At 43.1% G+C, this 25069-nt stretch overlaps 1 protein-coding gene and 1 pseudogene across 3 annotated transcripts in view; both read left to right on the top strand.

The window, feature by feature from the left end:
* Positions 1-25069, top strand: part of ANKH (ANKH inorganic pyrophosphate transport regulator) — a 166979-nt gene that overhangs the window by 69640 nt on the left and 72270 nt on the right. The window contains exon 1 of one of the 3 annotated variants that reach the window (XM_017009644.3): positions 3718-5921. The exons of the other annotated variants lie outside the window; for them this stretch is intronic. Within the exon in view, the coding sequence (XP_016865133.1) occupies positions 5910-5921 (12 nt within the window). The 5' untranslated portion in view covers positions 3718-5909. Of the gene's footprint in view, positions 1-3717; positions 5922-25069 lie in introns of those variants that run through there. 3 annotated transcript variants of the gene reach the window in all.
* On the top strand, positions 3642-5958 carry RBBP4P1 (RBBP4 pseudogene 1; annotated as a pseudogene).

Raw genomic sequence — 25069 nt, 5'->3', positions numbered from 1 at the left:
TGGTGGGCAGTTGACTTTGCCTATTTCAGGCCAAGGAGAGAAGTCTCAGGTAGGAACATTGACCCGGTGTTGGCACTGTCGACAGGAAGAAAGGAATTGAAACTGCAGGAGTAGATGAGAGATCTCCAGAGGAAACAGCTGCCAGCAATGCACAGTAGGAAATGCATCCTGTCCTGCAGCCTAGTCTACAGACATGTTAGTGCACACACACTCCTACAACAGATGTATCCCCACTGCATGCATGATGGCATTTTTCTATTCTGTTTATAAAAATTGTTGGTTGTAATGTTCTAAATTGTTTTCATGACACACTGATGTCTTAGGGAATATGTAGAATGAGAAGACAGGTGAAAGTCAAGAGCTGAGCTTTCAAGGACTACACAGACATTCTGTTTTCTTGTTTTCCTGTTGGATCCACTTACCCACACCCCGCTTCATGTCACAGTAGAGGTGATGTCATGGCAGCATTTCTCAAAATGTCCTATGGAGGACTTTGTAACATGAACCTCAAAAGCAAGGTTCTGTAGGCAAAAACATTTGTTAAGTTCTGTAATGCCACTGTCCCTTTGGAGATTTTTAGCATACATTGACAAAGTCTTTGAGAAATTCTATAGCTAAAAAAGAGAAAGAGTTTAATTTTGTTTTCTAGAGTCATTTCAATATAAAGAGTTTTTTATACACAGCACCTATTAACATCTGGAAGAAATAGTGTTCCTTAGAGTATACTTTCAGTAACATAGCATTAGCTTGTCCATTTCCAAACCTACACTGTTTTAGAATGAGTGTTGGTAATCATCAGGATAGGCACTGGGAAAGGATTGGAAGCAGTGGGATTTGTTTTTAGGGAGGTCATAGGGAATTTAAGGACTTAAAGATCAAGAAGGCATCTAATAGGGTTCTATGTAAAGATAAGAGACAACTAAAACAATCAGGTAAGAAACCTTTTGATCCAATAATTCTGTTAAATCTTCCAAGATATGTACATCAAATTATATAGGCATCCCTTGGAGCTATTGCGGCTTCGGTTCCAGACCACCACAATGAAGCAAATTCCACATGAAAGCAAGTGACACACACTTTTTGGTTTTCCAATGCATATAAAAGTTACGTTTGGGCTGGGTGTGGTAGCTCACACCTATAAGCCTACCCCTTTGGGAGGCTGAGGCAGGAGGATTGCTTGAGCCCAGGAGTTTGAGATCAGCCTGGGCATCATGCCAAGACCTCATCTTTACAAAAAATAAAATAACTAGCCAGGTATGGTGGTAGCATGTCTGTGGTCCCAGCTACCCGAGGCTGAGGTGGGAGGATTGCTTGAGCCCAGGAGGTCAAGGCTGCAGTGAGCCATGTTCACATCACTGTACTCCAACCTGGGCAAAGGAGCAAGACCCTGTCTCAAAAAAAAAAAAAAAAAGAAAAAAAATGTTATATTTGCTCTATACTATAGTCAATTAAGTGTGCAATGTATTAGGACTTAAAAAACAGTGTATATACCTTAAATAAAAGATACTCCATTGCTAAAAAATGCTAACGATCATCTGAGCTTTCAAAGAGTTGTAATCATTTTGTGGATACAGGATCTTGCTTCTGTATTGATGGCTGCTGGCTGATCAGGGTGGTGGTTCCTGAAGGTTGGGCAGGTTGTAGCAATTTCTTAAAATAAGACAGGAATGAAGTTTGCCACATCAGTTGACTCTTCCTTTCATGAAAGATTTGTCTGTAGCATGAAATGCTGTTTGATAGCATTTTACTCACAGTAGAACTTCTTTCAAAACTGAAATCAATCCTCTCAAACTCTGCTTTTGCTTTATCCACTAAGCTTATGTAATATTCTAAGTCATTTGTTGTCACTTCAACAATGTTCACAGCATCTTCACCAGGTATAGATTTCATCTCAAACACTTTATTTGCTTATCCGTAAGAAGCAGCTCCTCATCTATTGAAGTTTGATCATGAGATTACAGCAATTCAGTCCTGTCTTCATGCTCTACTTCTAACTCTAGTTCTCTTGCTATTTCTACCACATCTGCAGTTACCTTCCCCACTAAGGTCTTGAACCCCTCAAAGTCATCCATGAGGGTTGAAATCAACTTCTTCCAAACGACTGTTAATGTGGATAGTTTTACCTCCTCCCATGAGTCAGGAATGTTCTCTTAATGGCATCTAGAATGGTGACTTCTTTCCAGAAGGTTTTCACTATCCTTTGCCCAGATCCATCAGTGGAATCACTGTCTATGGCAGCTATAGCCTTATGAAATGTATTTCTTAAATAGTAAGACTTGAAAGTAGAAATTACTCCTTGATCCGTGGACCGCAGAATGGATGTTGTGTTAGCAGTCATGAAAACAACATAAATCTCCTCGTACCTCTCCATCAGAGCTCTTCGGTGACCAGGTGCATTGTCAATGAGCAGTAATATTTGAAAGAAATCTTTTTTCTGAGCAGTAGGTCTCAGCAGTGGGCTTAAAATATTTTCAGTAAGCCATGCTGTATACAGATGTGCTGTCATCCGGGCTTTGCTGTAACACAGGCAGAGTAAACTCAGCATAATTCTTAAGGACCTGAGGACTTTCTGAATGGTAAATGAGCATTGGCGTCAGCTTAAGTTCGCCACCTGCATTAGCCCCTAACAAGAGAATCAGCCTGTCCTTTGCAACTTTGAAGCCAGACATTTACCTCTCTTTTCTAGCTGTGAAAGTCCTAGATGACACCTTCTTCCAATAAAAGACTGTTTTGTCTACCTTGAAAATCTGTTGTATAATGTAGCCACCTTCATTAGTGATCTTAGCTAGATCTTCTGGATAAGTTGCTGCAGCTCCTACATAAGCACTTGCTGCTTTACCTTGTACTTTTGTATTTTGGAGACAGATTCTTTCCTGAAACCCCATGAACCAACCTCTGTTAGCTTCCAGCTTTTCTTCTGCAACTTCCTTACCTCTCCCAGCATTCATGGAATTCAAGAGTGAGAGCCTTGCCCTGGATTAGGCTTTTGCTTAAGGGAATGTTGTGGGTGGTTTGATCTTCTTTCCAGACCACTCAAACTTTCTCCGTATCAGCAATAAGGCTGTTGCACTTTCTTATTATTCTTGTATCCACTCAAGTAACATTTTTTAATTTCCTTTAAGAACTTTCCCTCTACATGCACAACTTGGCTAACTGATAGAGGAAGCCTAGCTTTCTTGGCCTGAGCTGGTAGCAAGCCTTCCTCACTAAGCAATGCTGTTGATTTACCAAGAGAGAGGTGTGACTGTTCCTTTCACTTGAATAGTTAGAGGCCATTGTAGGGTTATTAATTGGCCCAATTTCAGTATTGTTTTGTTTCAGGTAACAGGGAGGCCTGGAGGCAAGGGAGAAGGGAAAGACCAGTGGATAGAGCAGTCAGGACACACACATTTATTAAGTTTGCCATCTAATATGGGTGCAGTTTGTGGTGTCCCAAAACAATTAAAATAGTCACATTAAAGATCACCTATCACACATCACCATATCAGATATAATAATAATGAAAAAGTTTGAAATATTGCGAGAGTTACCAAAATGTGACACAAAGAGACAGAGAGTGAGCATGTGCTTTTGGAAAAAATGGTGCCAATAGACTTGCTTGACACAGGGTTGCCACAAACCTTCAATTTGTTAATTAAAAAAAAAAATAGAGACCGCGTGCGCAGAGCGAACGCCTGCAGCCTCCCTGCCCCTCCCACAACGCTCGACCCCAGGATTCCCCCGGCTCGCCTGCCCGCCATGGCCGACAAGGAAGCAGCCTTTGACAACACAGTGGAAGAATGAGTGATCAACAAGGAATACAAAATATGGAAAAAGAACACCCCTTTTCTTTATAATTTGGTGATGACCCATGCTCTGGAGTGGCCCAGCCTAACTGCCCAGTGGCTTCCAGATGTAACCAGACCAGAAGGGAAAGATTTCAGCCTTCATCGACTTGTCCTGGGGACACACACATCGGATGAACAAAACCATCTTGTTATAGCCAGTGTGCAGCTGCCTGATGATGATGCTCAGTTTGATGCATCACACTACGACAGAGAGAAAGGAGAATTTGGAGGTTTTGGTTCAGTTAGTGGAAAAATTGAAATAGAAATCAAGATCAACCATGAAGGAAAAGTAAACAGGGCCCGTTATATGCCCCAGAACCCTTGTATCATCACAACAAAGACTCCTTCCAGTGATATTCTTGTCTTTGACTATACAAAACATCCTTCTAAACCAGATCCTTCTGGAGAATGCAACCCAGACTTGCGTCTCCGTGGACATCAGAAGGAAGGCTATGGGCTTTCTTGGAACCTAAATCTCAGTGGGCACTTACTTAGTGCTTCAGATGACCACACCATCTGCCTGTGGGACATCAGTGCCGTTCCAAAGGAGGGAAAAGTGGTAGATGCGAAGACCATCTTTACAGGGCATACGGCAATAGTAGAAGATGTTTCCTGGCATCTACTCTGTGAGTCTCTGTTTGGGTCAGTTGCTGATGATCAGAAACTGATGATTTGGGATACTCGTTCAAACAATACTTCCAAACCAAGCCACTCAGTTGACACTCACACTGCTGAAGTGAACTGCCTTTCTTTCAGTCCTTATAGTGAGTTCATTCTTGCCACAGGATCAGCTGACAAGACTGTTGCCTTGTGGGATCTGAGAAATCTGAAACTTAAGTTGCATTCCTTTGAGTCACATAAGGATGAAATATTCCAGGTTCAGTGGTCACCTCACAATGAGACTATTTTAGCTTCCAGTGGTACTGATCACAGACCGAATGTCTAGGATTTAAGTAAAATTGGAGAGGAACAATCCCCAGAAGATGCAGAAGACAGGCCACCAGAGTTGTTGTTTATTCATGGTGGTCACACTGCCAAGATACCTGATTTCTCCTGGAATCCCAGTGAACCTTGAGTGATGTGTTCTGTATCGGAAGACAATATCATGCAAGTGTGGCAAATGGCAGAGAACATTTATAATGATGAAGACCCTGAAGGAAGCATGGATCCAGAAGGACAAGGGTCCTAAATATGTCTTTACTTCTTGTGATTTTAGACTCCCCTTTTTTCTTCTCAACCCCGAGAGTGATTTAACACTGGTTCTGAGACAGATTTTATTCAGCTATCCCTCTATATAATAGGTACCACCGATAATGCTATTAGCCCAAACAGTGGGTGTTTTCTAAATATTAATGGGGGGCTTGATTCAACAAAGCTACAGAGTTATGTTGAAATTTTCTTCAGGAATTTTCTAGTAACCCAGGTCTAAAGTAGCTACAGAAAGGGGAATATTATGTGTGATTATTTTTCTTCTTATGCTATATCCCCAAGTTTTTTGGACTCATTTAAGTAAAGGCTAGAGTGAGTAAGGAGAATAGAGCCAAATGAGGTAGGTGTCTGAGCCATGAAGTATAAATACTGAAAGATGTCACTTTTATTCAGGAAATAGGGGAGATTCAAGTCATATAGATTCCTACTCGAAAATCTCGACACCTGAGTTTCCAGGATGCACATTTTCATACGTAGACCAGTTTCCTCTTGGTTTCTTCAGTTAAGTCAAAACAGCACGTTCCTCTTTCCCCATATATTCATATATTTTTGCTCGTTAGTGTATTTCTTGAGCTGTTTTCATGTTGTTTATTTCCTGTCTGTGAAATGGTGTTTTTTTTTTTTTTGTTGGTGTGTGTTTTTTTTTTTTAACTTGGGACCGCCAAGTTGTAAAGATGTATGTTTTTACCTGACAGGTATACCACAGGTAGATTGTCAAGTTGAGAAGAGTGAATCGATAAATTGTATTTGTTTTAAAAATTAAATTAATCCTTGATAAGAGTTGCTTTTTTTTTAGGAGTTTGTCCTTGACCACTAGTTTGATGCCATCTCCATTTTGGGTGACCTGTTTCACCAGCAGGCCTATTACTCTCCATGACTAACTGTGTAAGTGCTTAAAATGGAATAAATTGCTTTTCTACATTAAAAAAAAAAACACATTTGCAATGCACAAGAAAATGAAGCTCAATAAAACAAGGTCTGAATATGCCTGTACCCAAAAGGCACAGATACAAATTTCTTTGTAAAAATATCACGTCGAAAAGAATTTTTTCAGCTAAGATCTAGTCTGACAATTGGGAAGGAAAATATGTTCAAAATAATTTTAACTGTTAAAGGCTCCAAACAGGACACTAATAAGGTGTCACATTGCAAAAGGAATAATTAACCAGCCTCACGGTCTCAGGGCTTATCTTAGGATATTCGCTTTTATATATGTTGGGCTATAATCTGCTTTTTTTTTTTTTTGAGACACAGTCTCACTCTGTCACCCAGGATGGAGTGCAGTGGTGTATTCTTGGCTCACTGTAACTTCCACCTCCCAGGTTCAACTGATCCTTGTGCTTCAGCCTCCCGAGTAGCTGGGATTACAGATATGTGCCACCACGCCGACTAATTTGTTTCGTATTTTTAGTAGAGACTAAAAATGGGGTTTCGCCATGTTGGCCAGGCTGGTCTTAAACTCCTGGCCTCAAGTGATCCACCTGCCTTTGCCTCCCAAAGTGCTGGGATTACAGGCGTGAGCCACCACACCCAGCTTTTAATCTGCTTTTGCAGCATCCTTTATATAGTTCTCATTTGAAAAGGGTGAAGGTTTGCTGAAGGAGTCCAGAATTTTTTCTTCTTGGTTTTTTACATCCTATCAATCAATTGCACATGATTTGGGGATTATTTTAACTTAAGATGAGTTTAAGAACCACAACGTATTATTGTAGGGATCTCTCTAGTTCAGAATAAAAGCTGCATCTATTTTTTTTCCAAATGCAGAAAATGTTCACTGTTCAAGTAATAAACACCATTGTTTAGTAGGTCACAATTGGATTTTACCACCATTGTTGAAGATAAATTTTTTCCACTCTCTTTTTGCTGACTACCTTTTCATGGCTGGTGGTAATGGCTCCAAGTCAGCAACTGGATTTTGCTTTGCCATTAGCATGCCACCAAGAAAATGGAAAATGTTTCTGTGCACACACTTGAAGGATCAGCTTCTGAAAAGAGCAGCTGCCTGCAATGATGTGTGATGAGTGAGATGCTGTGGGTGGATGCACGTTGGACCAGACTTGCATCCAGGCATTTTTCTGTCACTCAGACAAGTAGTGCCAGGCACACATTGTTTCTGTGTACCACCTCCTCCTACTTCCATTATCTCAGAACATACACAGTACAGCAAAGGAAAACACAAGACCATGCCTTCCAAAGCACCAACGGAATTCCGTTTTCATTGCCTCACCTTGTGCAGCAGCAAATGCCGTATATATTTCTTCAAAGGGCAATGCAGCACTCAGTGCAACCCTAACATCATTCAGGAAGCAAAACAACTAGTCAGTTCCACATGTTGGTTTACCAGTCTCAAGGCCCCATCTGTTCAGGAGCAAGCTTCTTATATGACTTGCAGCAAGCTCTCTCATCTGCTTCTGAAGTTTGTCACCTCTGTGGGAAAAATAATTGAACAGTACTGGAAGAAATGATCTGCCTTTGGGATTCAGCTTTTCACCACAGCACATTTCCAAATTAGAGCAGTTAGTAAACCTGGGGACATTTATCTTAAGACTGTGATCCAACAGTAAGCAAAAGGATTTTCTGTGGTAGTACAACTATTAGATAATTAGGATACGAAAGAAGATAGGAGAGGGAGAGAAGAGGCATTCAATGGAACATCCCCAGAGCCTCTTACACATGCTCCCTGTGCTCCCCGAGCTGTCTTTAGCCCACGTTCACGGCCAGGGCCCCTCTCTGCACTTCACCTGCCTCCTTTCTGTGGTCCCCACTATAGTTACATCATGGATTCACAGTCAGTGCTGGGCACACAGGAAGCTGCAGGGTATAGTTCCAGCATGAGAAATTCAGCTTTTTCCAGGTCTCCTCTGTGGCTAAAATAACTGTCCTTTGAAAATAGGCTCTGCTGCTCTAGAATAGGCTGGCTTTCCCAGTACACTTCCCAACAATGCCTTATTGCCCAAAGCTGTTAGGACTTCCTGGAGAATACAGCCATGCAGTTAGTTGCATTGACTCTGTCTACGTCCTACGAGGTTTGGTTCTCACCAGTGTAAAGAGATCTTAGTGATATTTCTGTTTATCCCAACAAAAGTTCGCCATCAGATAAGTGTTGGCTTAGCAAACACATTTGCTTTGCAGGCCAGAATGGATCAGTGGATAGCATTACTTCTTCTACTTAGAGAAAAACATTTTTCTCCCAGTGGGCGGTCGCCCCATTCATTGTTCAATAGTCAGCCACACAGAAATGCAGTGATAGCAAATGAAGAGGGAGAGGATTTACTGCCCCACGAGAGAGCAAACAAGGCAGAGAAATGCTCCTGCCAGGGCCTCACTTACTGCCCCCGCAAGGCCACACAGCTGGCTGGGCCATTAGGTGTCACTTGCAAACTTCCAGGACAAACTCACTTGGGACTGGGTTTCTCCAAGGCAAGAGGAGCTGCAGCAGTGAAGGCGAGAACAGCACCATTGAGATTTGCAGCCACCATTCCTGCAAGACTCCCGGCCTGGCTGCTTGTCCTTTGCCTGTTTATTCTGCCTCTTCACCCTGGTTCATCTCCCGTTACTCAGCCCCTTACCACTTACCTTGCTGCTCCACCAGAGAACTGGCCACCAGGTGTCCGGTGGTCTCACTGCCTCTGATCCCCTGCAGTCCTCACCACACTGCCAGTTTAACGTGGGCACAGCTCCTGGGAATTAGAGAAATACCCAAGAGCTACTGGGCAAAGCCACCATGGCTGAGGAACATTTAGGGGTTAGGTCTTTGGCTATGACTGAGTGGCAGAGGTGAGTCCTCGCTGGGTCTTCAGCAGCCCAGAGTGTCTCTGTGGGCCTCTTTCCAGCCCCAGAACCCTTAGATGTCAGGGTCAAAGCAGACCAAGTCCAAGGCAGCCTGGCTCTGCTGACGCATCCCTCCCTCCTTAAACTTTGGTAAGAGTGTCCACCTCTCTTTTATTTTAGGCTTTGTTGTAACTAAGTGTTGTTTTATTTATATATATAATATATAAATAAATAAATATTTATATATATATTTTTATATATTTATATATATTTTATATATATTTATATATATATTTTTATATATATATATTTATATATATATATTTATATATATATATATTTTTATATATATATATGATGGAGTTTCTCTCTTGTTGCCCAGGCTGGAGTGTGGTGGCATAATCTCGGCTCACTGCAACCTGCAACTCCCAGGTTCAAGCGATTCTCCTGCCTCAGCCTCCCGAGTAGCTGGGATTACAGGTGTCTGCCACCACATCTGGCTAATTTTTTTGTATTTTTAGTAGAGGCAGGGTTTTACCATGTTGGCCAGGCTGGTCTCGAACTCCTGAACTCAGGTGATCCACCTGTCTCGGCCTCCCAAAGTGCTAGGATTACAGGCGTGAGCCACCGTGCCCAGCCCTGTTTTATTTTTATTTCACGTAACTTCAAGGATGAGTAGTCAGTTCTGGGTAGTGTTTTAGCTGTGTTCACCAGCACCCAGCTGCCTCCTCAGCTAGAAACCCCCAAATCGTTCTTTCCTTTCATCAGTGTTCATCAGCCTAGATAGAGCGGTGAAGGAGGTCCATTCCCCACTGTGAGGGAGATTCACCTGGGGAGGAGGGCCACTGGCAGCAGACAAGAAACAGATCTTAGTTCTCACATCCAAATAAATGTTGGCTTTCACCCTCCTGTCCCATCATCACCAGTCTGGGTCCCAGACCAAGCACCTCTTCCCTGCCACTCTGGCAAGAGTTGGTTTCCTGACTCTGTTTTTTGCCACTCTAGTCCACTATGCACATTCTTCCCAGATTGTTCTTCATAAATCCTCCACTCACAAGCTTGCAGCCTTTCCTATCACAGTCATATCCAATCTCAATTCCCCTGCCCAGTATAATGGGACTCGACTCTAGACACCTGACCTAATTTCTCTCCACTCCATGCACGCTTCCTTGAGCCAGCCTCTGTTCCTCTCTTGAGCCCAGAGCAGGCTGAGCTCTGGCACTCCCTGTACCCCCTCAGAGCCCTCCACCCTCGTCCCAAAGGATCCAGGACCCTCACCATCTTCAGCACAGGCAGCTTGCTCTTGCTGATCGAATCAGAGCCACCATTTTTGTCCTATGCCTGTTCCATATTCTCATCATGACTTCCTTGAAGGCAGGGACCAGCTTTTAAACCTCTTGTGTGTGGTCCATGGTTCTTGCCTAGTAGAGTACCAGGCACATAACAGGTACTGAACAAATCCTTCTTAGCCAAGCAATTGCTGGATGAGCGCCTTCAAGTAGCACCTGCGTGGCAGAGGTTTGCTGGAGTAGAAGGTAAAAGTTGGGAGGGCTCCCAAGGGAGAGGCTGGGGTAGACTTTTGACTTCATGAGCTATCACTGGAAGCTGCTTTTGAAAATGCAAAACTGGCATTCTTTGCACACACTGGGTGCTTTCCTTCCAAAGCTGTCAAATTCAATGAGGATAAATATTGAGTAGTAAGTGGGCTTGATTTTGCTTAGCTTTTGACTAGGCAAAAGTCAAAAGCTGACTTTGGGGTGGCTGATTTATTCAAAACCAATTTTTATGCATTTTTTTTACAACAAGGGAACCATTTGTATAAAAAGAAAACGAAGCTAAGAAAAGGCTCATTACAGCCGTAGGAGCTTGGGTAGGCAGCAGACAGACTTGGTATAGAAGGTGCTTTTGAAACTACTTCATTGAGTCTAGATCTTTGCATTTTTTATGGAAATCACCAAGCAACTACCACAGTTCTTCATTTTGCTGTTCCTCACCTCCCTGCTGAACGAGGAGTCATGACATCTCAGGCAGTTTGGGTCAACATGGCCACCTCTTTCAGACTGAGCTCATGCGCCCACCCCAGAGTTAAGGTTCTTCACATCCCTCTCCAGGCACCCGAAGGGGCCTAAGATAACACAGCTGGTAGGGGGAAACTCAGATATCAGCCTGATGGTCCACGTGATTTCCAGCTTACGTGGCTGGGTTTAGAGGCCAAAGTCCCAATATTGCCACTAATAGCTTAATGGCCTTGGGTAAATTGGTTTTTCCCTATGAGTCTCAGTCATCTTGTCCTTCACAAGAGCTGAGACTCTCTACCTTGCTAGGTTTTTCAGGAGGATTAATGAAGTGAGAGAACTCATGAGAAAATGCCCAGCACAGGCCCTAATACACACAGGAGGGTGCGTGAAAAGAGTTGGATCTTGGCTGGGCATAGTGGCTTATACCTGTGATTCTAGTGCTTTGGGAGGCCAAGGCAGGTGGATCTCTTGAGGTAAGGAGTTCAAGACCAGCCTGGCCAACATGGCAAAACCCTGTCTCTACTAAAAATACAAAAAATTAACTGGGCATGGTGACGCTCGCCTATAGTCCCCACTACTCAGGGAGGCTGAGACAAGAGAATCGCTCGAACCCCGGAAGCGAAGGTTGCAGTGAGCCGAGATCGCACCACTGCTCCCCAGCCTGGGCGACAGAGTGAGACTCAGGGATGAATATGAAAATAATTTTAGGTTTCCACGGAGCAGTTTCTTTAAAATACATTTTACAAAAAGAAAGAAAAAGAAAAGAACCAGTGAATAAGTGATTTGAGTCTCACTCCAGATATATTTTAATGTTCTCTCCCTTTTCAAAATTTACAGCCAATGTCAACAAATACTTAGTTTGTCTAATCTTTTTGTGGTTTGCATAGAAGGTGGATTGAGTGTTTTTCAAAGTTGGGACTTCCTGTTTTTCCCTGATCTGTGTTTTTCTCTTTTAATTCTTCATTTTTGGCATCAGCCAAGAACACATTCATATGGGACTAGTCTTAAGTTCCAAGTGTGTTTGAGGGGTTTAAAAATTAGGTGATATAGTAGTTTATGTCGTGTTTTATCTGTTTAGTGTACTTTTATCTTCATATGGAAGTAAGTAATTATGGAGAAAGGTTTTTGTTCTGTACTTTTAGAATGATGTGAGGAGGGAGGCGGAGTAGAAATCTTAATGCATTTTAACTTGTGAAGAAGCATCATATTCTATATTGGGGAATTGGAAGGTATCATAAGACTTACTTTAAAGCAGACTAAACTGTATTGTCACAGCTATTAATTTTACACAAAATGAAAATGTGAGCTGGGCCTGGTGGCTCACGCCTGTAATCCCAGCACTTTGGGAGGCCGAGGCGGGTAGATCGCTTGAGCCCAGGAGTTCGAGACCAGCCTGGACAACATGGTGAAACCCAATCTCTACTAAAAATACAAAATTAGCCATGCATGGTGACACGCAACTATAATCCCAACTACTGGGGAGACTGAGGCTGGATAATCACTTGAGCCCGGGAATCGGAGGTTGCAGTGAGCTGAGATCGCACCACTGCACTCCAGCCAGGCAACAGAGTGAGATCCTGTCGAGAGAGAGAGAGAGAGAATGTGTACTGCTCAAAGTCCAAAATTATCATTGTTTTATTCTTAAAGTACAGTTTTAAAAATCTGCACTTTGCCATCTTGAAAGTTAACAAACAATTTTAGGAGATTCCCTTTTATTCTCAATAAAATAGAAAGAAATATTTACTGTGGTTTATTCCTTAGTGTTAAAGAGAGGTTACCAAGCCAAACACTGAATACTTTAGAAAATTTCTAGATAGACACAGCTTAGAAATGGAGCTTAGCTTTTTTTTTTTTTTTTATCACCACCATTCTGAGAGCACAACATGAATTTAGGATAGTTGAATGGGACCTAAATGTGATGCAAGGATATTAAATTTGCTTTTAAAAAATGCATTTAACTCATACGGAAGCTCAAAAGTCAGACTTTGTAAAACGATTCTAACATTGAGGTTGGAACCATTCTTACGTTCTTAAATAAATACTATGGTATATATGCTAACTGAGTTGTTGTTGTTGTTGTTTTTGGAGACAGGGTTTCATTCATGTCGCCCAGGCTGGAGTGCAGTGGCGCAATCTTGGCTCATTATAACCTCTGCCTCCAAGGTTCAAGCGATTCTCCTGCCTCAGCCTCCCGAGTAGCTGGGACTACAGGCACGTACCACCATGCCTGGCTAATTTTTGTATTTTTGTAGAGATGGGATTTCACTATGTTAGCCAGGCTGGTCTCAAACTCCTGGGCTCAGGTGATCCACCCGCCTCGGCCTCCCAAAGTGCTGGGATTACAGGCGTGAGCCACCGTGCCCGGCCCAAATAAGTTTAGATGTAGTTATGTCCAAAGAATCCAAGTGGCACTAAGGCATGTGAAGCACCTTTTTCTTTCCCCCTTTTTGCACAGCTGCTCAGGGAGCATTCCACATACCTTCATTCTAAAGTTCCCTTTCCACTCATTTTGATCAGTTAGTATTATTAACCTGTGTGACTTGTGTAGCTATCCCCCTGTGTTTCTGTCTTAGCCTTTGTTACAGTGACAGTCCTTCTCTGTGTATTTCTCTCTGCCTTTCTACTGCCTTCTCCACCACTTTTTCCATCTTCAACTCCTGAGTTCATCCTCCTACTTGTCATACGAAAGTGCCTAATCCTTACGGCAATTAATTAGTCACTGATGATCAGATATAAGCCCCTAATTCTAAGGCTTTGGGGGATATAAAGAAATGTTCAAATATACTTAGTGTGTGTGGTGTATTTGCCTGGCACCATGCTCTTTCATGAACAATGTACACGATGTGATGGCCATAAAAAGTTAACAGTTTGGCCACCACGTCATGCACATTCCTCAACCAAGAGATGGTGCCAGGCAGATACATCACAATCATGAAGTATATTTGCATATATGAAGTAGTTCTTTGAGTAAATACATGACAGTGATAATCCCTGGGACAGGAGCAATCCTGTGGCTTAGGCAGGTTAAGGAGGTTTCCTGAGGGAGGAAGGAATTGACCTTGTTCTCAGAGGATGGGCAGAAGACAAGAGGAAGCCGTTCTGCTGGCATTTCGTCGGGATGAAGACAACACAGCCAGGAAATCCAGAGGTTGGCCTTGATAACTTAGAGTTCTAACAAGGGCAGCACTGATAGTCCTGGTAAGCTTCTAGGGCTCCAAGAAGCCTTCTTGGACCCAGCAGACTGGACTCAATGCCTTCATGCTGTAATCAGACTGTTAGAATTGTTTCACCTATTTGTAAACCAATCATGATTTAGGTGCTGAAGTCCAAAAAAGGGAAGTAGGTCATGAAGGGCTTAAACCAGCACTAATAGGAAAGTGAGTCCAACAGGGAGAAGGTTCCTCTTTTCTCATGGCCAAAGGTGTGGGTTTGGGAGCGTCATGGCTGTCTTTTGACCAGCACATAACTCCTAGTATGTAGCCTTGTGTTTCAAACTGTTGGAATTCACAGTGTTTTTCAAGTGAGATGAGCAGGTAGGCATCTGCTTACAGATACTATCACAGGTGATTACTCAAAGCACGCCAGTGACCTGTCAGCCTTTGCTTTGCCGGGTGCTTCCTTGGCTTTGCACCCTAGAAAATTAGGCATTTCATTTATTTTGTCTGCCTTGATAAAGTTGCTTTCATTTTTTTTCATTTTAAATTAATAAAAGTAGCATCTGCTCTGCTCTTTATCATAAGTAAAATGATACAGAAATGTATCAAGTTAATAATTGTCCCATTCCTGCCCCTCTTAATCCCACTTCTCCTAAAATAACCAGGATGAACAGCTTGGTGTATGTCAGTCTCTAGCTATATCTCTGCTCATACAAATATACTCACACATTTTTTAGGGTCTTTTTTTATGTTTTTAACAGAATGAGAATATTTTATATTGCTTGACTTGCAACTTACTTCTACTTAACACTGTTTCTTGGGCCTCTTTCTTTTTTTCTTTTTTTGAGATGGAGTCTTGCTCTGTTGCCCAGGCTGGAGTGCAATGGCGCTATCTTGGCTCACTGCAACCTCCACCTCCCAGGTTCAAGCAATTCTCCTGCCTCAGCTTCCCAAGTAGCTGGGATTACAGGCGCATGCAACCAGGCCAGGCTAATCTTTGTATTTTTAGTAGAGACGGGGTTTCACCATGTTGGTTAGGCTGGTCTTGAACTCCTGACCTCAGGTGATCCACCTGCCTCAGCCTTCCAAAGTGCTGGAATTACAGGCGTGAGCCACCGCACCCGGCCTGTTTCTTGGGCCTCTTTCTACTTCAGTACATTGACTTTCACTTCATGTTTGGTGGGTGACCTTCTGCCCTCTGGATGAACCATAATTATTTAACCTTTCCTATGTTGGTGGACACATGGATTATTATCAGCTGTGTGTCATGACAAAGAACGCTTTCATGAACATCTATTTGTACATGTCATTATGTACTGGGGCTTTTGTTTAGATGGATTTCTGAAGGGGGATTACTGGGTCAAGGAGTTGTCACACTTTTAATTATAATACCTCTTGATATATTCCTTTTCCACACAATTATAGCAGCTTACACACCCACCAATACTATCTGACATTTCCCATTATTCGTCTTTGCTAGCGCTAGGTTTTACCATTTATTTTAATTTTTAAAATTTGACAACCATCTTGTTTCAGTTTTTCTTTCTCTGACTTTGGCTGAGGCAGAGCATCTTTTGATGTGTCTGTGCCCTGTGAGCATTGCTTCTTCTGGGAGCCGGCTTCTCTGTAGTTAAATATCTGCTAAGGCAAGTGCCCCTCACTAGTCTCCTCTATCACATTTCTCTTGTTTTTTCTCCTATGTGGAGTTAAAACTCATTTTGCCCAGGTCCAAATAAAAATGCAAATCACTAGATCACTAGAATTCTGACTGGAACGCCATCAGATTTACAAATGAGTTCAGAAAGAGCTCTGACATATTTATGACATTATGTCTTCTCATCAAGGAACATAGTTTGCCTCTCCATTTATTCAGGTCTCATTTTATGAACTTTAATAAAATGCTGTGGTTTTCTTTATTTAGGAACTACTTCTTTAATTTATTTCCAGGAAGTTTATAGTTTTGTCTCTTTTATACTGGGAGTGACACAGTTTATGAGTCTGATATCAGTCTAATAAGACCCAAGAATGTGCCATCAAAGACAAAGAAAATAGACGTTATTTTTTTACTTTTTCTCCCTGATACAGAATACTTTTTTTTTTTTTTTTTTTTTTTGAGACAGAGTCTCACTTTCTCACCCAGGCTAGAATACAGTGGCGTGATCTCGGCTCACTGCAACCTGTGCCTCCTGGGTTCAAGCGATTCTCCTGCCTCAGCCTCCCAAGTAGCTGGGATTACAGGCGCCTGCCAACATGCCTGGCTAATTTTTTTTTATTTTTAGTAGAGATGGGGTTTCACCATCTTGGTCTCAAACTCCTGACCTTGTAATCCACCCACCTCAGCCTCCCAAAGTGCTGGGATTACAGGCGTGAGCCACCACGCCCTGCCGATACAGATTACTTTTAAATAATAAACATATACTAAGGAGTTTTATTAGAATGAAAAGAGAGTTTTTCTCTTAACATTTATATTAAAATTTTCCTACATGATGTTTTAAAATAACAGTTTCAATTTCAGTTTAAACTGGCGTATTAGTTTTTGCATTGCTGTAAGAAAATACCTGAGACTGGATAACTTATAATGAGAAGAGGTGAGGTTTAATTGGCTTACGGTGCTGCAGGCTGTACAAGAAGCATAGTGCTGGCATCCGTTTGGCTTCTGCAGAGGCCTCAGGAAGCTTCCAATCATGGCAGAAGGTGAACGGGGAGTAGGCAAACCACATGGTGAGAGCAAGAGAGGGAGGAGTGGAAGGTCCCAGACTTTTAAACAATCAGATCTTGCATGAATTGAGCAAGAACTCACTCATCACCATGGTGCTGAACCATTCCTGAGGGATCCACCCCCAAGATCCTCTCACCTCCCTCCAGGCCTCAGCTCCCACACTGGGAATCACATTTCAGTGTGAGATTTGGAGGGGACAAACATCCAAACCATATCACCTGGTAGGATTTAGTACTTGTACCTATGGATATTCGTCTTTTTTGTTTTGAGGTCTCTGAGTAGAATTCTCACAGATCTCAAAAAGGCTTAAATAACTGTGTTTGGGCAGTGGATATTTTGGGGGAGAGCTTCACTGTCTGCTCTCAGACCTCAGCTGTCAGAAAAATGAGCAGAAATGAAGGAAAAGTCCAAGCCACCGCACGCGGCAGATTGAAGGTGGTATCCAGAGTCACTGGAAGAGCGCTGACCAGTGGAGCTTTCCACAGTCCACTGTCCTGCTATTGGTGGGCACATCTCAAATATTCCTCTGTCCAGAGTCGTTGGAGCCTTGATTGGGGGTTGTACTAACTTCAGCAAGTGCCTTTTCTAGGGCCTCACTTGCTCATTTTAGGTGAGAATTAGAAGGCAGAGAAGAGTGATCCATCACTGAGTTACCTTCCTTTCCTTTGGGGAGCTCCTTGGAAGCTTCAGTCCTGGCAGTTCTTGCACTGCTTGTCCTGTAGGATTTCTTTACCCAGACTTCCAGGTAGAGGTTGGCCAGGCCAACACTCTGTCACTAGATACCATGACCCTGCTCCTTACTCTGTTTAGAGGGAAATGCCTCCAACCACATGACTTACGTTCTTTATGAGGGCACTACAGTTCCCCAAACTAGGTAGCCATGACTTTAAAATAACCACTTCTTTTAATGATAATTATTTTTCCTACTTAATTGCCTGGGTAGGTAATAAAGCATTTCTGTGTGAGGCCGTGCACCGCCACTCACCAGCTTTGCTAGTCTGATGATGGTAGAGACGTGTTTATCCTGCCCCTGCCGCCCCACCCTCTTCAGTCCAGTGTTGAGGTGCAGAGGAAGGAGCACCAGGCAGGCTGGCAGTCTCACTGGTTCTATTTGGTAGCACCGTATATTAACCAGGAACCTAGGGCAGGGCATGGAATCTTTTTGAGCCTCAATTTCCTTATCCACATCATGGGAATTTTTAGTTGTTACCCTATTATGTTGTTAGATAAAACTTACCTTGTTACCTTGTTAGATAAAACCAATAAGGTAACATGTGAAGTCATGTTCAAGAATGTGCAGTACCGCCTATGTAAGAGGTTGTTATTCTTCATGGGTTCTGTAAATGTTTCTTGGATGAATTCATGTACTCCACCAACAAATACGCCTTCTGATGCTGCAGCCTCTACCAGGGCCCTGAGGGCAAGGTGGAGGACAAAGCTGCCTCCTTTCACTGGGTCTCCTTGGTCCCCTTACCCGAGTAGGTGAAAGGGCTGGAGCAAGACAACTCTTCAGCTGCTCTAATTTTCAGAAACAAGGTCTGAGTCATAGTGAATCTGGATTTACAGAGTGAAAGCACAGCATGGGCACTTACTACCTCCTGTATCACGTATGCATGAAATAGCAAGTGATAAAAATGAATTCATTTTCCCATCTTTAGCAATTTTCAAAGCACTTTAATTTTATTCACGTTATTCTCTAGCTTATTACATTATCATGTCACTATTTAAGGTGAAAAACCTTAGGTATAAACCATGGATATCATTGTAAAGACAAAATAAATTCAGGACATATAATTCTTAAATTGCTGTTACAACCAGTGACACTGTTGACTCTGCAAATTTTTGGGGTGCCATGATCATATCCTTTGTCCTTTCTTGTATTGTGTTCTAAACAGCTTAATTCCTTGAGACAATTTTACTTCAACTAGAATACTGTGCATCAATAGAATACTGTGCATCAATAATTTAAACCAATAACAGTAGCATGGGATGGCAAGGTAATGACATTCCTACTTGCACACAGCAAAGCAAATGCTGAAGACAGCCTTGTCACAATTAAGTAAAATAGTGCTATTTTAATTTTGCTGAGATTCCTATCTCCATGTGTGGTGTGTGTGTGTGTGTGTGTGTGTGTGTGTGTGTGTGTGTGTAGAATGGTGGCGACCCTCTTCTGTGCCACAGTGTCTTCTCTTGTCCTGATAGTTATAGGCAGTGTTACTGATTCCTAACAAATGGCTCAGTGAGACTGGTCATGGGCTGAGCAGACTAACTTGTTTAATGACTGCTTTTAACTCTCTCTCACCTCCTAAAAACAACGAGATCAAGTGCCCCAGACCCTTAGAACTCATTCACAAAACTTGATGCGTGCCAGTTACATAAATACCAATAGTGAGTTCTAACGGATCCCTCATGCAGAAGTAAATGAACCCCACAGCTGAGAAGTGAAGAAAACTTTGGAAGAGTTAAAGATCCTTGTATAATACACTCTGCCATGTACAAAAGGAGCCCCTAGAGGTTCTTGTCCTCATCTTCAGTAGGCCGCTATAGAGGTTCACTTGGCATCCCCACTGCACTGGTGACAATGAGCAGGTGCATGAGCTTTGCAAGATGGCCTGCGTGGTGCTGGATTTACAGGTTTCAAACTCTTCACCAAGCTTCACAGTCATGATTGCACAATATAATTGACCTGATTTCTTTTATTCTCATTTTCTTGGCATGGCTCAGATATATTAAATACGTCTTTAGTCACACTCAGTTCAGCCTTTACATCTGCGCCGTAATGCTTGTTGTATAGTACTGTTTAAAAAATAATCTTTAGGATCTTTGGAATTTTTTGTAAAGATAGTCTTTAGTCAAAAGTCCTCTTTGATCTGATAGCTAGTCCTCTCTGTTTAAAGTATTGCTAGTAGACAGAATTTAGCATCAACTATAATCTCTAATTCAAAGTAAAGGGTTTTACTTTACTTTGGTTTTAGTATAATAGAATGAGGGTTAGGATCGCTAGCTGTGAAGCCAAGCTCTCTGGATTTTTCTCTGAGCTTTGTGTCCACCCTGGATGAGTGATTTCGCCTCTCCATACATCAGTTTCCTCCCCAGTAAACTGGGGAATAAAAATATCTCCCTCACAGTGTTGTCAGGGGAAGGTAAGATCTTAGAATACTGTCTGCCACAGGGTGAGCACTCAGTCAGTGCTAGTTGCTGAGATCATCATCATCATTATCATGGTCACTGGATTTCTTAAGGTCCAAATGCAAATTGGCCTTCACTCTTTTTTTGCTTAGTGTAAACACACTTATAAACGTCCATGGAAGGCAGTAGACGACACAGCTTGAAGTTGCACTTAAGTCAGAAGAAGGAATGGAGATTCTGAGCTGCTTAGGGTCCACAGCCACAGTTAAGGCACTGGGGTCATCAAGAAAAAAATCTACTACCAAGCAGGGAGATAGTAGGTAGGGAGAGTTGGTTAAAAGACTCCCAGGATCCCAGACGTAAACCTGTATTCCAGATTGTTGTTTCTGGAGTTGGTGGTGCTGTTTCAAAATCTGGACAGAATCTTGAGATGTTAACTAAGCAGTATCATTTGAGAACCATCTCTCTTTGTAAGTATAAAAAATTAGGAAATGTAGTAAAGCTGTGAGATTGAGGTGGGGAATAAGCATTCTTAAATGGCACAGGAAGCTTTGGGGTTTAAATACACTACAACTTTCATGGTAGCAATCCTTTCTTGTCAGGCCTTCTACCATCTTGAATTGAGGTTAAATTTAGCTGGGTGAATAAGCTTCATGTTTCATGAGAGATCAGGAGAATTCAAAGAGGGTCTTATGACACTAAGTCTACCCTTTCATGATGGAGCATATTTTCATATTAAGAGGTCATACAGGAAAATGCTTTTTGTTTTCTCCTGACATATTGAAGACACCAACAGGAGAAAGGTGAGTTAGCCAAACATCGTTGTACCGTGCTTGGTTGTTTGTCCCTATTCTTAATGGAAGCTCCTCTCCAGGTGTGGGAGGTGACTGAAAACACCACTGTTGTATTTTGGACTTGCCCAATGTTGTCTTGGGGTTTTCAGGAAGCACTAAATATGGACAGCACCACACAGAGCAGTCACTTTGACTCCTGAAGGGACCAGGTTCCGTTTGACTGCTGCTCCCCCTGAACCACAACCTCATGTGTGGGCGTGAAGTTCTTGGCTGAAGCTCTAGCTAAACAGAGTGAGGGAGTCTCATTTAGAGCTGTATAGATCCCTGGGAAAATAAAGCATGGCTGGAAAACTACCGGGAAGACAAATGATCCAATTTAACCCAAGCCACTTTTCAAAACTCAGACCAACAGAACAATAACAGTGGAAAATTACAGGAACCCAGGCTCCTTGAGAGGACCAAAATCCGAAATTGCTGATTCTCCATGTCTTTGGAAGAAGCTCTTCCCACAGGTAACTGTGCCTGCACATGTACGTCTGACTTTTCCACGGGTCCACACATGTACATTTTCTGACGACTTAGGGTGTAAGGCACATTTTAAAACTAGATTTCGTCTACTACAATGGTCAGTTTCCTTGATGTCATCGTAAGTATAATGAGATCATTGAAGCTGTAGACGGAGGAGTTGTCTTTTATCAAAAGGATTAGATAGATGGCAGCCCAGGCTGGTTCTGAACGAGACAAAATAATTACCTGGCTCTTAGGTATCATTGTTTTTTCTAGTCTAGGATGAGGCAAGTAAAGGAAGTATTCATCTTACTGAAAGTCAAAAATGCAACTTTCAGCATTTCACATAATAATCTCTTGCTATTTTAGGGAACAGTATCAGCTTTCAACTGGACACCCTTTTTTGTGGAAGAATTTGAAAAGCTGTTTCCATATGAGAAACATGATTTTGTTTTGTTCTGTTTTTTTTGAGACAGTCTAACTCTGTTGGCTAGGCTGGAGTGCAGTGGCACAATCTCAGCTCACTGCAACCTCCGCCTCCTGGGTTCAAGTGATTCTCCCGCCTCAGCCTGCCAAGTAGCTGGGACTACAGGCATGTGCCACCACGCCCAGCTAATTTTTGTATTTTTAGTAGAGATGAGGTTTTGCCACGTTGGCCAGGCCGGTCTTGAACTCCTGACCTCAGGTAATCCACCCAGCTCGGCCTCCCAAAGTGCTGGGATTACAGACGTGAGCCACCATGTCTGGCCCATGATTTTATTTTCTAACCATGTGGTCATGAATGTGTATAACAAGGTCAGGGCCCAGCAGCCCTTGGCACGTCCTGACTTGCACAGCCACTTCTCCTGAATGCCCTGTCGCCCATCCAGGCACCGTTCATTCACAGTGAAACGTGGTTCTCTGTCAGCGGCACACTCAGCTTCTCCAGGGCCTGGTCAGAAAAAAAAAAAAAAAAAGCTGTTATCCTTTGAATGTGAACTTCTGATTTCTTCCTCATGGCAACTAACTTCTGTTACAAGATTTGACTCCATAATGGAACAGCTTGTCCTCTATCCCAATTGACATCCAAAAAGAGTTGAAAAAAATCTTTACTTTCGCTTTACACCAAGGAGGCTAATTATGTGTCCCATTGCTGCATTCTGTTCATGTCCGTGTGTCTACAGTTAAGCAGCCAACTGGGTGCTCAGTGTGGCTTGGTGGAAGTAGTCATGGAAGACCTACCCATCTATTGAGAAACGATCAGAACTACATGAATAGGTACAGTGACATTGTCAGCACTTTGCATATTTTAAGTTCATAGATTCTACCCAAAAAAGTATGGGTTTTTCATCCAGAAGTCTAAACCTACAGTTAGAAGATTTTATTTATGAATGACCAGACATAAGTTTTGTATCACAGTTAATACACATTCATTTGTGCATGTATTGGGTTTCAAGCATTGTGCTAAGTAAATGCAGAAAAACTGGTGACAAATACGCCCAGTCCCTGCCTCAAGGAGGTAACAGACTGGTGATATGGGCAGTCAGGTAAGCAGGTAACTGCTGTACACCTTGACGAGGGCGATAACAGAGTCTCGGATCTGCACAGGGGGCTGCAGAGCACAGAGGAGGGAAGACAAGAAAGAGGGTGGGAACTAGAGGACGTTGGGAGTCAAGAGAGGGTTTCTTTTTTAGGATGGAGGAGACTTTTGCCTGTGTAAACATTGATGGGAAGGCCAGTCAAGTAGCAAAGATCAGACAAAAATGAGAGGAAGATGGTGGATTTGAACAGGGCTCCTGAAATGGTCAGAGGAACATAAAGGTAGAGCCCCAGATGGATGGCCCCACACTCACCCTGGTCAGGCCCGCCTTTCCTTTGTGACAGGAGGGAGGAGGTGAGGAAGAGCTTAGGTCAGATGTGTTTTGTTGAGTTTTGTAGTTTCAGAGAGAGAAGCAATAAGAAATTTAGTTTCTACCTGATGGGTTCCACATTCCAGATGGATAAGAGGTGAGGTTATCTGCTGAGTAAGAAGGAATGCATCTCAAAGTCTTCCCAGCCTAGGAGTACTGAGAGCAGGGAATGGGAAAGACTAGAGGGGTAACTGGGCAGCTGACAGCATGCAGGGGGCGTTGGAGACCATGATTGTGCAGTGGCAGCAGACCGTGTGGCTGTGTATTCGTTTCCAGCAACTCTCAAAGCCCAAGTAGAATTCTACAAATACCGTTAAGGGTGGAATAGGTCAGTCAGGTGAATCCAAGGCTAGAGATTTGCAGGCAGTGAGTTGCAGGTTTTGGCAAGAGTGGGGTTAAGTGATGACCCTGAAGTGTAGGCTGCAGTAGTAAGGAAGGGAAGACAGGAGGAGCGATGAGAGGGAAAGTGGGGAGTCGAGAGAGTGACAAGCTTAATGAAGTTTAGAATCGAGGGAGTGGGAGAAATAGAGCTGAAAGGTTAGAAATTGCAGCCGGAGATTTTAACTGAAATTTGAGAAGGGGAGCAACTCTGGATGGTGGAGGCAAAGGTGTGGCCACAAGAGTGTGCACTTGAAGCAGAGTAGAGGTCACTGGCGCGGAGGAGGTCAAAGAACTCAGAGGGCATTGGGTGGGCTGACCAGACGGATATTGACATGCCTTCCCTGCAGAGTTGAGATGCAGAGGAGACTCTGAGCCAAGTGGCAGGGTCCCCAGTGAAAATCTAAGGGGCTAGAAGGGATCAATTCTCCATTTGGAACTCTAAGATGAGAGAGCAATATGGCTAGGCGTGTGAATCTCAAAAAAGCAGGGAGTTTACAGGAGAGCAGAGAGGCATTGGCTGGAATGGTGTGGACAGCAAGAATGCACAGCTACCTCCAGGACTGCGAGGATCAGGATGACCCCAGGCCGGGTGCTGCATGTGCCCTCACCTTCCTGTTGCCCAGCTCTGGGGTTGCCAGGAATTTCAGCTGCTGGGTGACAGCAGCAGTCAAAGGCCATGCAGTGCCATCTCAGGTGGAGGTAACACAAGTGGCAGAGGCAGGGAGGTGCTGTTCACTGGAGCGGGACTGCAGGGCTTTTGCCCAGGGCCTTATAACCATGATGGAACCTGCAGGAAGCATGGAAAGGGACATTCTCCTCCAAAGGCCCAGAGGAATCAGACTAGGGGACCACTCTGTTACTGTGGCCGGGGTGGGCTCATGGGCCCAACTTATGTACTGAACCCCAAAAGATAATCTGTCTACACATCAGTGCTTCATAGGTTTCCCAGACAGGAGATGAGCTGAGCAGCTTGTACACCAGACCTCCTCTCAGCGAGGAGGGGTTACCACCTGGACCCGTGCCCCAGGGGCACAGCACTCCTTCCCACTTGCAAGGAATGCTTGTTGCTAGCATTAGCATAAAATGACTGGCAGGATTGGGGTGAATTGGTGCCTCCTGTCCTGAGGAATCTCAGACTACAGTATAAAGATATTTCTGGTCTCTAGATCTGAAGTTTACAATGTTGGCGTCTCTTTTAGGATTTAATGATCTAGACAGCTCATACCAGGGAGATCAGTTCATGTCTGTGGGATTTGGTAAACATTTCCGTGGAGGTTATATTTTTTACTTTTTAATATCCTGTGGTTTTGTTAACTTACTGTGGAAAAAAAATCAGGCAACAGAACACAGTGAACCTGGTAGATACTGGGAGATAGAAGGGCTTGCATGACTCACTCAATACTTTCTGGACCCAGATATGTTTGGTGTTTTTGTTTGTTTGTTTTTTGTTTTTGTGATGGAGTTTTGCTCTTGTCGCCCAGACTGGAGTGCAATGGCGCAATCTCGGCTCACTGCAACCTCCACCTCCCGTGTTCAAGCAATTTTTCTGCCTCAGCCTCCAGAGTAGCTGGAATTACAGGTGCCCCCCCACCACGCCCGGCTAACTTTTTTTATATTTTTGGTAGAGACAGGGTTTTGCCATGTTTGCCGGGCTGGTCTCAAACTCCTGA

The sequence above is a fragment of the Homo sapiens genome, chromosome 5 (genome assembly GCF_000001405.40).
Source record: "Homo sapiens chromosome 5, GRCh38.p14 Primary Assembly".
NCBI classification, from domain to species: domain Eukaryota; kingdom Metazoa; phylum Chordata; class Mammalia; order Primates; family Hominidae; genus Homo; species Homo sapiens.
Note: the sequence above shows the minus strand (reverse complement) of the source record. Positions and strands in the feature narration are given on the sequence as shown.